We start from the raw sequence: 14,303 nt of genomic DNA on the forward strand, positions 1-14,303 counted from the left end.
AAATGACTGATATATGCAACACTTGTATGAATCTTAAAAGCTTAGTTCTAAGTAACAGAAATCAGCTACAATAGGTTACATATCTGTGACTTCATTTACATGACATTTCGTGAAAGGCAAAATATAGGAACGGAAATCAGATCAGTGGTTGCCAAGAGCTGGAAGTGGAGACAGGGATGACCTCAAAGGGGTGGTACGGAACTTTGGAACTTTGGAACACCCACTTCTGAGGTGGGTGTTCTATATCTTGATTGTGGTAGTGATGGTTACTCAAGTCTATGCAGTCGTTAAAATCTATCAAATTATACACTTAAAACTGGTGAATTTTACTCTATGTAAATTATACCTCACTAAAGCTGATTTTTAAACAATTCTTGCAATGTTTCGCATTTCCCTCAGCGTGAATGACTCTGTAAGCCAACAGGCCCTTCAGGATCTGAACCCACCACCACCCTCTCTCTGACCTTATCCCTGGTCACTCTCCTTACACTTTGCTGCAGCTAACAGAGCCTCCTAGATATGAAGTCTTCTCAGACTGTGCAGGTACAAGTCCTCTCTGAGCATTGCACTAACTCCTTCTACCTCCTTTAAGTCTGTGGTTAATTGCCACCACTTCAGAAAGGCCTAATCTCTTACTGAATGTTCCTTGGATGGGCCTCAGTTTCCCCATCTGTAGATGGAGGAAGCAAAACCACAGGATCTCTCTGAGAGCTTTCTAGTCTGACATGCTACAGTTCTGACATATAGCTTTTAGGTATGTAAGAAGGCATTGAATGACAAACAGCAGGTGAGTGAAACACAGTTCTAGAGTGTTCTAAGGGCAAATGACCACTTCCAGCTGCCAGAATCAGAAGACGCTTAATGGAGGAGTTGGCTCCTAAAGAACACGTAAGATTTCTTGGTTTTTTCTTTTCTTTTCTTTTCTTTTTTGTTTTGAGATGGAGTTTTGCTGTTGTTGCCCAGGCTGGAGTGCAGTGTTGCAATCTTGGCTCACCACAACCTCTGCCTCCAAGGTTCAAGCGATTCTCCTGCCTTAGCCACCATAGTAGCTGGGATTACAGGCATCCATCACCACTCCCGGCTAATGTTGTATTTTTAGTAGAGATGGGGTTTCTCCATGTTGGTTAGGCTGGTCTTGAACTCATGACCTCAGGTGATCCGCCCGTCTCGGCCTCCCAAAGTGCTGGGATTACAGGCGTGAGCCACTGTGCCCGGCCCAGGTAGGATTTCTTTATACAAAAACAATTAACTCGACAATTGGGAATATTGTTCCAGTTTCTTTTAGAGTAAAGTTCTGGCTTCTACTTGGCTTGCATAGTTTGAACATTTTGCCCAGCTTTGACAACATCCTTGAATACTGTCATGCTATGCATTCAGAATCTCTCCTGCATGTTTTCTTGCTTGCCGTCCTGCTGGGGTCATTGGTAATTAACTGGCCAAGGTGTACATTATGTCAGTGCTGTGCCAGACATAGGAAAATTGACAAGATCGCTACCTTGTTGTAGTATATCTGTTCACACACTTTTTTGTACTAGATTCTGATCTCCCAGGGGGCTAAGTTTATGTCTGTCTCAGCTTTGGATCCACAATGATAAAGCATGGCAAACTCAAAGAATGAATGTTCCTGAGAATTCTGAGCATTCTGCTTGTATTAGTGTGCACATCAGGAAGAACAATTAGCAAGGTCATTAATCACGACTCTCTCTATTTGATTGTCAAAGCTAATTGCCTATTAAGGTAAAGCAGGACTTATTTCTTTAACCAGAAGGGTTACAACCTGAGCATGTTGGCAAATTTTGAGATGCTGCTGTGAAAGACAAAATAGAAGAAGTTCAAGCACAAAGCTAAAATCTGAAGGTCTTTTCATTTACCCTTGTTTACTGGTGACCTACAATCAAGGTTGAATCCTCCCTCTGCAGAAGTAATTAAGGTGAAATGAGATCACAACGGTGGGGCCCTGATCTGATAGGATTAGTGTCCTTATAAAAAGAGACATCAGAGAGCTGGCTCTTTCTCTCACTTTCCAGACACACACATTGAGGAAAGGCCGTGTGAGCACACAGAGAGAAGGTGGCTGTCTACAAGCCAGGAAGAGAGCCCTCTGTAACAACTGAATAAGCTATCACCTTGATCACAGGCTTCCAGCTTCCAAAACTGTAAGAAAATAAGTATCTGTTGTTCAAGCCACCCTGCCTGTGGTATTTTGCTCTAGCAGCCTGAGCAGACTACGACAACGATGGCACCCTTTGTCTCAAACAGGCCCAACTTAAAATTCTCTGCTATATTGATTTACAGCCTCTTCTGTCCCAAGATGTGAATTAGCGTAGGGCTTTCCAGAAATTTCTCATTCCCAAACTGACCTGCTCTCTGTTAATACTTTCCCTGCTACCTTTCAACTAATAAATGACATTGAGAATTTCTCCTTCTGCTGTATGCTTTCAGTTGTCAGCGACTTGCATTTTCTGTAGCCATCATTTAGATTTGAAAATAACATTTTCTAGCAATTTTGGATAGAGGCAATTTTTAGAGTAACCCAATGGAGAGTGTAAGCATTACCTCTATATATGCATGCCCAGGAAGGAAAGCTGGAACCAGCAAAAGGCTGTCCACAATCTGCATTTCCTAACATCACATAATACTCTCTGTATTAGAGTTCTCCAAAGAAACAGATTGAACAGGATATACACATACAAACACACACATACACATATATATAATCTCCAATTGTATGTGTGTGTGTGTGTGTGTGGTAAGAGAGAGAGAGGGAGAGAGAGAGATTTACAATGAGGAATTAGTTCATGTGATTATGGAGGCTGAGAAATCCCATGATGTGCCACCTGCTATCAGCAAACTGGAGACCCAGGAAGCCTGGTGGTCTAATTCCAGTCAGATAAAGAAGGTCGAAGAACCAGGGGAGCTCATAGTGTAAGTCTCAGCTCAAGGGCAGTAGAAGATCGACATCCCAGCTCATGCAGGTAGATAGAAAAAAAAGGGGGGTACATTCCTTTTTCCTCCACTTTTTTGTTCTACTCAGTCCCTCAATGGATTGGATGATGCCAGCCCAGCTTGGGGAGGGCTATCTACTTTATTGAGTCTACCAATTCAAATGCTAATTTTATTTGGAAACAACCTCACAGACACACTCAGAAATAATGTTGAATCTAAGCACCTTGCGGCACAATCAAGTTGACACTATTAAATTAACCATCACATTCTAAAACAGTCTTTGGGGATATTTATAAATATTGTTATAGAAGACTTTTTGGCTGGGCCTAGTGGCTCATGCCTGTAATCCCAGCACTTTAGGAGGCTGAGGTGGGCAGATCACTTGAGGTCAGGAGTTCGAGACCAGCCTGGCCAACATGGCAAAACTCTGTCTGTACTAAAAAATACAAAAATTAGCCGGGCATGGTGGTGTGCACCTGTAATCCCAGATACTCAGAAGGCTAAGGCAGGAGAATGGCTTGAATCCAGGAGGCAGAGGTTGCAATGAGCTGAAATTGTGCCACTGCACTCCAGCCTGGGTGACAGAGCGAGACTCTATCTCAAAAAAAAAAAGAAAAAAGAAGACTTTTTGGCATTGCATAGAATGAATCCAAATTTTAGTTCATGGTATTGAACAACATATGGCTAATACTCATCCTTGCATTCATTCAAAATAGCTAAAATGTTATAAGGCTAATGTCCTCCATCTCCCCAGAATGTGCAAAGCATTTTTATTCTTGATGTTTGTCTTTTATCACAATGCAAATGCCATCTTGAGCCCCAGTGCTCTCAGTTAGAGGCTGGGGATGTTTTCTTTAATCTATTCTGAAGGCTGATTTTTCAGATATTATGACAATGTTCTTTTGCTCTATGCTCTCCTCTTACTTTGGAAGCCAAGGCAATATTGTATTGGCAGAAAGAGTATGGATTTTGAAGTTAGATAGTGACATGGTTTGGATCTGTGTCTCCACCCAAATCTCATGTTCAATTGTAATCCCCAGTGTTGGAGGTGGGGCCTGGTGGGAGGTAATTGGATCATGTGGGTGGATGCTTCATGAATGGTTTAGCACCATCTCTTTGGTGCTGTTCTCATGATAGAGTTCTCAGGAAATCTGATTGTTTAAAAGTGTGTGGCACCTGTCCTCTTGCTCTGTCTTCCCTCTGCTCGGGCCATGCAAGATATACCCGCTTCCCCTTTGCCTTCTGCTATGACTGTATGTTTCGTGAGGCCTCGCCAGAAGCTGAGCAGGAGCTGGCCTGCAGAGCCATGAGCCAATTAAACCTCTTTTCTTTATAAATTACCCAGTCTTAGGTATTTTTTTATAGCAGTGTGAGAATTGACTAATACAGAGAGATTCTCAGCCTTGATGCTTACTTTCTTTGTGGAACCCACTTTTTTACTTACAAAGTGGAGATACTGATGCCTAGGTATTCTGTGCTCTTAGCAATGGTAAGACTAAGACATGTCTCTGGACGTTTTGGGGAAGCATATCAATCAGAGTTAAACTAGAGAAACAGAAACACTATGAGAGCTATAGAATAAAGCGTTTATTATGGGGATTCGACCTCATGCAATTGTAGGAGCAAGTACAGAAGTCTATTCAAGATTGTGACCACTATGTCTGATGTTGGGTCTGAGGTTGACATACTCAGCTAAGTTGGCAATTGGGAAAGAAGTCTTGGTATGAAGTAGAGGAGAAAAGGGCAAATTGGAACCCAGGAAGATGTATTGGAACCTGTATCTGTCTCTCTGGGCCTCCATCCTTCATAATGTGGGTGACTTGCAGGGAAAGCTAGTATATTGTGCCATGGAGCTGCACACATATCTGGCCCAGGACGTGGAAAAACTGAGAGAGGAAATCCGGTGGGAGCCAGAGGAGCTGTGAGCCCAATTACAACCCACACCCATACCCACAAGGTGAGCTAGCAGATCAGTGACAACTTGTGCAAGTCACTATAGTGCATGGCACCCTAAACCAGCCCTCAAAGACTGAAAATTAATGCTGCCTCACTGCTGTCTTCCAAATTTCAGGCAAGTTTCTCTTGTGGCTCATGCAAACCTGGAGCCCTGTGGGGAAAGGAATCATGGGGAAATGAGTTTCGGTTTAGTTACATTTACACAGTGCAATGCCACTACAGTAAATATTTTCATAGTTTCTTAGAGAAGTGGAAATGGATTTATTACAAAAAGCTCTGTGGTTAAATTTCTGTATTTTGTGTGTGTGTGAGAGAGAGAGAGAAAGAGAGAACATGAATATCTGTGATTCTACTAGTTTGTCAATAGCAGCACCTTGGTCATCTTCCTGATGCCCGTGTGTATTGTTAGAAAAACAAAAACAGTTTAACATGCAGGCACCAAATGATATTCTTTCTGGACAAACCAGAGAAGTAAATAATCTGTCAGAAAACTTCCTGAACCAAACCTATTCCTGTCTGGATATACCATGCATTATTCTACACATACAGAGTTCCATACAGTGGAAACTGGATTCTAGAGCAAAATGTCAACAGCACATGACACTTGTCCAATAAATGTTAGCTGATTCAATAGAAAAAAGGGCAAACGCTTAATGCTGCCTTCTAGTTATTAGCACATAACCACATCCAAACCTGGAATTTGTTAATTAATGCAACTTATATTTATTTTAGTTTCTTAATATAAAAATGCTCAATGTGAAAAAGCAATGTGTGAGTTACTCTATCATATGATAATAAGTTATGGAGAATATTATTAGCAATCAAATGGCTTTAATCATGTGGAGAGATGTGCACAGAAACTAATAAAAATGTATTTCTAAATCTACTAGTATGCAATCTCCCCTCGCTTGTCAATATTTTAGAATGTCACCTTGAAAACTTTTAAACACATTAAAATTTATTTAATTTTAAAAGGGGCAATACATTTTAAAATTAGGTTAAATTATAGTCATGCACAGCATAACAATCTTTTGATCAGTGTTGGATCACGTAGACAGTGGTACCATAAGATTATAATGGAGTTGACAAATTCCTTTTGCCTAGTGATGTAGCCATCATAACGTCATAGCACAACACATTACTCATGTGTTTGTAGTGATACTTGTGTAAACACACCAACTATACTGTCAGTTAAATAAACATAGAGCACACACAATTATGTACAATACGTAGTACCTTATAGTGCTAATAAATGACTATGTTACAGGTTTATATATTTACTATAGTTTCTATTGTTACTTTAGAGTGCACTGCTTCTACTTATATATTAAAAAGTTTAACTGTAAAACAGCTCAGGCAGGTCCTTTTGGAGGTGTTCCAGAAGAAGTCATTGCTATAATAGGAGAGGACATCTTCATGTGTGTTATTGTCCCTGAAGACCTTCTAATGTGACAAGATGTAGAGGTGGAAGACAGTGATATTGATGATCCTGAACTTGTGTAGGCCTAATGTGTATGTCTGTGTCTTTGTTTTTACCAAAAAAGTTTACAAAGTAAAAATTAAAACATTTTTAAACATAGTAAAAAAGCTTATAGAACAAGCATATAAAAAAAGAAAATACTTTTGTACAGCTATCCAAAGTGTTTGTGTTTTAAGCTAAATGTTGTTACAAAAGGGTCAGAAAGTTTAAAACAATTAAGTGGTTTGTTTTGTTTTGCTTTTTAGAGATGGTTCTTGCCATGTTGTGCTGGCTGGACTCGAACTCCTGGATTCAAGCAATCCTCCTGCGGACTCAGATGATCCTTCTGCCTCAGCTTCCTGAGTAGCTGGGGTAAAGCTTATAAAGTAAAAACTTTGAGTAAGCTAAAATCAATTTATGATTGAAAATAATATTTTTAATAAATATAGTGTAGCCTAAGTGTACAGTGTTTATAGAGTCTACAGTAGTGTACAGTAATGTCCTAGGCCTTTACGTTCACCCACTATTCACTCATTGACTCACCCAGAGCAACTTCCACTCTTGAGACAGAGTCTCTGTTGCCCAGGCTGGAGCGCAATGGCATGATCTCAGCTCACTGCAACCTCCGCCTCCCAGGTTCAAGCAATTCTCCTGCCTCAGCCCTACTAGTAGCTGGGACTGCAGGCACGCACCACCATGCCTGGCTAATTTTTGATTTTTTAGTAGAGACGGGGTTTCCCCATATTGGCCAGGATAGTCTTGTGGTTGTGATCCGCCCACCTCGACCTCCCAAAGTGTTGGGATTACAGGCGTGAGCCACCGTGCTTGGCCACAACTTCCACTCTTGCAAGCTTCATTCATGATAAGTGCCCTATCCAGGTGTGCCATTTTTTATCTTTTACACCAGCAGTCCCCAACATATTTGGCATCAGGGACCGATTTCGTGGAAGACAATTTTTCTACGGATGGGGGTGGGAGATGTTTTCATCCGGCATTAGATTCTCATAAGGCGCGCAACCTAGATCCCTGCATGCGCAGTTCACAACAGGGTTCGTGCTCCTATGAAAATTTAAGCTACCGCTGATCTGATAGGAGATGGAGCTCAGGCGGTAATGCTCACTCGCCCACCATTCACCTCCTGTTGTGCAGCCCAGTTCCTAAGAGGCCATGGACCGGTAGTGGCTATAGAGGTAACATGCTATATATAGAGGTTTGTAGCCTAGGAGCAGTAGGCTATAGTGTATAGCCTAGGTGTGTAGTAGGCTATGCTATCTAGGTTTGTGTAAGTCACTCTATGATGTTTGCACAACCAAATAACCTAGTGACACATTTCTCAGAAGGTATCTTTGTCATTAAGCGATGCATGACTGTATATAAAAGTATACAGTAAAAATTCCCATGCAATTCCCCATCTGCTCATGTTCTTCCTCTCTTCCCAACATAGATAACCACGGTTATTAGTTTTTCCTATATCCTTCCAGACGCTATTATCCATATATGAGCCAGTACAAACACAACCATCTCACCCCCAACCTTATCAACCTTATTATGCAAATAGTAGAAGAGGTTTTATTGATTTCTTCATTTAACCCATTTTGGGGTTCTTTCCATATCAGTACGTAAAGAATTTCCCCAGCCTTTTCTTTAGCTGCCTAGAATTCCATTGTATGTATATTCAGTGATTTATACATTCAAATTTTATCTTTTAATTTCAACTCTCTGGAGATGGCTTTTGGCATCCCCCTCCATACCTTCTGGAAATAACTGCCATCCAGCAACTGGTAATTCTTTCTCTGTTCAAAGAGCAACAACATAAATAATGCTGACCCTTGGATTTGAGCAGTTCTAGTGTTCTGCCCATTGAGTAGAGCCAAGACACACACACACACACACACACACACACACACACACACACACACTCTCATCAGCAAGCTGCCTGTGCTCCCCTCAGCCAGGCTCTGGCTGTCAGTGAGCATGACAATGCTCCAAGCTTCCGTCTAGAGCTGAGCTTTGAGCCTGTGCAATGGGCCACTGCGTTTAGCTGTAAATGAGTGTGCCAGGCCCACTGCCACAGGCACTCCATTTGCCCCAGAGCCCAAGGCTGGCCCGCCCCAAGCAGCTCCTCTCCCAAGGCAGAGCTCCCTTCCTGGTCATAATGGACTCCTGAGTCCATGTGCTTGATTGAGTTCTTCTTAATTACATCCATTGATGTTGAAAAACACTCAGACCAAGAAAGAGACCAAAGAGACTGTGGGCACTTGTAGCTGCCAAACAGGCAGGTTTTCATACCATGGCCACTGGAGAGCTGCATAAAGGCCAGATGGTAAGTCACAGCATATGCTCCTGCAGAGGACAGCCTGAAGACACTCTGTGTGTAGACAGCCTGGAGCAGAAACGCCACCTGGGAAGCCCTGGGAACACAAAAGGATCAAAGCGGAGCGCACTGGCGCTGAGTCCTGGAGTCACTCCAGGGGAGTCGGCAGCCCCAGGTGGCTGCCTCCAGAGGGCCTGACTGTGCCTTCCTGGGGCCAGGACCTTTTTCTCCAGTGCTGGTGCTCTTGATACTTGAGATATGCCCTCTACTCACGGGCACACCTGAACACCAACATGCACTCACCTTCTGTGTGAAATACACGTCATTTCTGAGGAATTTATCAGGGCCAGAAAGGACTGACACTCTCTGCTTTTAAGTAAGTCAATAAAAGTCGCATTTGGTTGTTAAAGGATTCATCCCAGGTCTTTCACATAGGTCCTCGGTAACAGTAATTTGGTTTCCAAACCGAAATAAATGTGTGTGTGTGTGTGTGTGTGTGTGTGTGTGTGTGTTCAGCTTTTGCAGTTTCACATGCCCATTTAAATGGAGAAGACTCCTACAGTCATTTCTGGTGGTTTGGCCATAAAACCCTCGGGTTTAGAAATGCTCTTGTTTAGCATTCTAAGATGTAGTTGCCTTACTCATACTAATTATGATAACAGCTAACACTTCCTGATTACTCACTTGGGGCCTATCACTTTGCTAAGCACCTTGCATCCATTATCTCATGTAATCCCCATCAACAACCCTGTGATGTAGGTCCTATTATTATCCAAGTTTTACAGATGAAGAAGATGAGAATCAGAGAGGCTACATGACTTATCCAATGTCACACAGCACATCCAAAGGGGACCTGAGTTGTCTGTCTCAGGAGCCACTATTGTCATCACAAAAAATTCATTCTGGAGCCTAGTTTTTGTCATAGATTGTTTAACAAACTATGGGGCTTCCTGAATGTGCTGAGTGTCAGGGGAGAGAAAAATTTTTCTTTGGGTTTAGCCATCTATCCATTGTAGAATTCTGCCTTTAAATTATATTCCACCTATGCACATCAGCCTTTCTTCTGCTTCTTTCGTCTAAAATAATGAAAACGTCGGTTAAGACTTCGAATAGATTCCATTTTAAAGGTATATTTGCACTGTACTCAGGAGTCTTCAGGCTGAGAAATCTTCCCAGTTTCATAGGGAAGAGTCCTGGTTCCCAGCTCTGTGCTTGGCTTTGGCTAGAGAAATACATTCATTCCTCCGTATTACAGTGGATTGTCTCTGACTCTCTTTTCCCTGTGAGCTATTGGAGAGCAGGAACCATGCAACATCCATCTTTGCATTTTCTGCATCTGGCATACAGCCCTGGCTCAGTAAATAACTGAAAGGTATTGATCATACCAGCGTCAGGGTAGAGATGAGATAAATCAGCTTGCCTCTTCCCCTGGTTGTTACATATGCACGAGGGGTCTCTAAGAGGCCTGGAGAGCCAAGCCAAGTTCTACCAAATCCCTCTTTCTAGGACTTGTTGCTCTGTGCTTGGGAGGCTGGGTTCCTTTGCCTGGCTTGGAACCACCCAGCTGATATCAGGGGATCCTTAATAGCTTCATCATAAGGAAATGTGGTGCCCCAGAGAACTCCATCAATGGCAAACTATGGAATTTGAGACCACCATGGTCTTTACTTTCCCTATTCTTCCTCTATTGTGGCTACAAGGTGAAGGCGGGGATACCATTTCCGAATGTAATGAAAGGTTTTAATAGCTAGGCTTTGCTGATTTAAAAAATGCCACATTTTCCTTATCTTTCTCAACAAAACGAAGATCAGTTATATCCTACCTCCAGGTTAGTTGCTTTTGTACAAATTTTAGGTTAAGTTAGGGATTGGTGAAAATTTTTCAGGAACTTTTGGAAAAACTATGAAGTTTGGATTTCAGGCATGTCCAATTATTTTCCAGAGTGAACAAATTTTTTTTTAGATTATCTACAATGTATCACTCCCAATCACCTTGTCAGAAATCAGAATGATTCAAATGCTAGTCTTATTTTTAATTTTTGTGGGTACATAGTAGGTATATATATTTATGGGGTACATGAGATGTTTTGATACAGGCATGCAATGTGAAATAAGTATATCAGAACATCACGGAGAATGGGGTATTTATCCCCTCAAGCATTTATCCATTGAGTTGCAAACAATCCAGTCACACTGTTTAAGTTATTTAAAAATGTAAAGTTACATTATTATTGACGATAGTCACCCTGTTGTGCTATGATATAGTACGCCTTATTCATTCTTTCTAACTTTTTTGTACCCATTCAAACGCTATTTCTACATGTCACCAGGAAAGCCCTAGAGTAGCATATCTACTAACAGGATTTCTAAGAGAGAATAATCTTGGGTGGATGGAATCATCTTATGCTATCTTCCTCTTCCCATTACTCAATGGCTGAGTCTTAACCTGAAAAACTCTCACACTCATGCTTCAAAACCCAACTTAAATGCCACCTCCTCTAAGGAGTCTTCCCTGACTCCACCAGACACTATTAGATGATCCCACCTCTGTGTCTGTAGAAGAGTTTGTGTGTTCACCTTTCACAGCACTTGCTATTAATATATTACATTGTATGTGCTTTTCTCCCTGAGTGAACTATGAACTCCCTAGTTATTTTTATTGTTTCAAAGTTTTAAATGATAAAGGATTACATGCTCATGATAAAAAAAAAAAAAAAAGAGGGAAGAGGAAAAGGAGAAGGATGTAGAATAAGTGCTTTTCTCTCCCAACAAAGACCTTTAATATTTCTCAGAAGCAAACTCTCCCAAAAGTTTTTTGTGCATCTTCCTGAATTCATCTAGGTAAGTACAAATATAAATACAGAAATGCATTCCTTTTTCTTTAAAAAATAACATACATAGAACAATTCTCAATCACCATGATATTCTGGCACAGACACAGGGCTAAAACTACAATAGGTGATCAATTAACATATATTGACTTGAACTGGGGCCTCTGCTCTCCCAGCTGAACTACCCAAGGGAGTGAAGTTACCTGGGATCTAGATAGTACCTCAACTGTTTCCTCTCCCCACAACCCCCAATCAGATACCAGGGAGATAAAACTCAAGGCAGTCAATTTTCCTACCTAGAAGCAGGAGCTTAGTAAAAAGACAAGAGAAGATGTATACTCATGGCTAAAATATGCATTGGTTTCAATCTTCTTTACTGCTGTATCCATTAAGTGTTCCAGATAATAGAGAACTGATTGTATCCTTGAAAACTGGACTGATGGTAAGGATTATTTGCTGTAAACTCAGGAATATACAGATTGCAAAGTGAAGTATGTCCTTTGTTTAGTTTACATATTAATAAGAACATTGTTAATTCCTTTTATTATTTATATTTTAAAGACTGCAGTGTTGTGCTGGTTGATTCTGTCATTTCAGTTTTTGTCTTTTTCTTTTCCATCTCAGTATCCCCAGCAGAATCATAACTTTTCACAGAGGCATCTAATTTCTTAACCTTAAAGCAGAAGAGAAACGTCTTTCAAATTTTCCTATGACGGTCAAGGAGTGGGGGTTGTGGAATGTATATACTTAGATGAATTAAACTCAGACCTTCTCCGGTTGGATGTTTGAGCCGCCCAGACAAAGATGAAGATTAACACAGTTTAAGGATGAAATATAGACCATCCTGTGCAAAACCACCGTGTTGCAGTTTAATTAAAAGAATTCATTAAAGTGGTGCCCCATCCAGGGTAATTAGTATGCGTAATTTATGCGTTGCCTAATACACAAGGGCAGTAGCCTGAATAATAAACTCAAGTTAACCTTAAGTGAAAGAGATCGAATGGTCAGATGTTTATTTAGCTCAGGTTTGCTCACGAGTTAAGGTTAAAGAGGTGAAATTCAGTTACAGTTAATTAATTAATTTCTCAGATTTTCTTCATGAAAATCTTGCTGGCTCAATTGGGTAAAAGTTTTGTCAAAGGCAGACAGCACTATTTTTATTCATCAGCTATTTTCTACCCTGTCCTCCAGCAAGTTAGTAACCATTTGAAAGAACACATTTAAGGGAACTGCAAAGAGAGAGAAAATACGAACACATCAAACCAACCCAAACAAACCCCAAGATAGGAGCAGATCTGTGATCTGTGCTTGCAGACAAAAATCAAAACCAGGACAGATTTAAGGAGGACATCATTATCAAAATGTTGGGACTGACTAGGATAATGTCCAGGTTTTTTTCAATTGTGAACCACATGTTTGAGAATTCATTTAAGTATTTGAGCTGCATGAGTTTTTGTTGACAACAATGGAAAGCGTCCATGCCTGGCGTGTGCATAACATGTCGCAAATATGAACCAGTGGTTATTCAAGTTCCCTCTATTCCTTTGGTTAGAAATACTTTATCATGCCCCAATTCTGTGATGTAATTTTCATGGAATTAAACTTGAAGAGTTCAAAATTATGCAATTAATTGTATTCAGCTTCAATTATAATGACTTATTAATCAAGTCCTTTGGCAAGACACCTGGCACTCTATACAGTGGTTGTGGTGGGAAGCAGCTAGGCCTGAGGAACTTATTGGTTCATGTGAGCAAGCTAATTAGGTGAATTGTTGATTGATTGATTGCTTTATTGGTGGCTGCATGTAGGTAAGAGTGCTGAGGTGTAGAAGCTGGGATAAGTCAGGAAAGATCTAACTTAATTTGTACTGGAAAGACTGAAGGCTGTAATAAAATCATCTGATATTTATTGAGCACCAATTATGGGCAAGGCAGTGGGTTCGTCTCTGGGCTTCCATATTAAATTGAAGTATAAGACAGAGGTGTCTGGCCGGGCGCAGTGGCTCATGCCTGTAATCCCAGCACTTTGGGAGGCCGAGGCAGGTGGATAATGAGGTCAGGAGATCGAGACCATCCTGACTAACATGGTGAAACCCTGGCTCTACTAAAAATACAAAAAATTAGCCAGGCGTGGTGGCGGGTGCCTGCAGTCCCAGGTACTCGGGAGGCTGAGGCAGGAGAATGGTGTGAACCTGGGAGGCGGAGCTTGCAGTGAACCGAGATGGCGCCACTGCATTCCAGCCGGGGCGACAGAGCCAGACTCCGTCTCAAAAAAAAAAAAAAAAAAAAAAAAACCACACACACAGAGGTGTCCTTCCCTCACTCTCACCTTGACCTCCCAGGATGCTAAGACAGAAGCACAAGCAAATACAAACAGCCACACAGAGTTACATGAGCACTAAGTAATGAACTCCATTTACTGAAGAGCATTTCTACTTTATAGAACTGCCTTTCCTCCATTCCATATCGTTCCAGTGGGCTTCCAATCACCCCCACCCATCTGCCCACATGTTGGGCACCTGACCCAGGTTAGGTCAATCAGATCTTTTGTAAATTTGGATCTTGAGTGGAGACAGACAAGGTGGGGGGAGGCAGTTGGCACTGTCACCCAGTGGCTGCCGCCAAGGAGCTGCTGGGATTCCTGGGGCTGCCATGGTTCCTTCCCAAAAAGTGGTTTTCAGCTCTTCTCTTTTGTGATCTTAACGGTGTCTCGGAAAAATCCTATTTGCTGTTTGTCAGCCAGAGTTAGTTCCTGAGGCACGAAATCGAAGACTCCTGATAAAGACAACGAATGATCCC

The 14,303-nt window shown here is 41.4% G+C and overlaps 1 long non-coding RNA gene across 3 annotated transcripts; it reads left to right on the top strand.

Annotated features, from left to right (window-relative positions):
* The first annotated feature begins 208 nt into the window (after positions 1–208).
* LOC105370838 (uncharacterized) lies at positions 209–12,417 on the top strand. Of its 3 annotated transcripts, none has more exons than XR_932307.2 (3): positions 209–543; positions 6,628–6,760; positions 12,130–12,417. It is a non-coding gene; the product is annotated as an uncharacterized LOC105370838 (long non-coding RNA). The 3 variants fall into 3 exon arrangements; XR_932308.2 differs by lacking the exon at positions 209–543 and adding an exon at positions 553–888; XR_932309.1 differs by lacking the exon at positions 209–543 and adding an exon at positions 2,069–2,156.
* Positions 12,418–14,303: the final 1,886 nt, after the last annotated feature.

This window comes from Homo sapiens, chromosome 15 (assembly GCF_000001405.40).
Source record: "Homo sapiens chromosome 15, GRCh38.p14 Primary Assembly".
Classification (NCBI taxonomy): domain Eukaryota; kingdom Metazoa; phylum Chordata; class Mammalia; order Primates; family Hominidae; genus Homo; species Homo sapiens.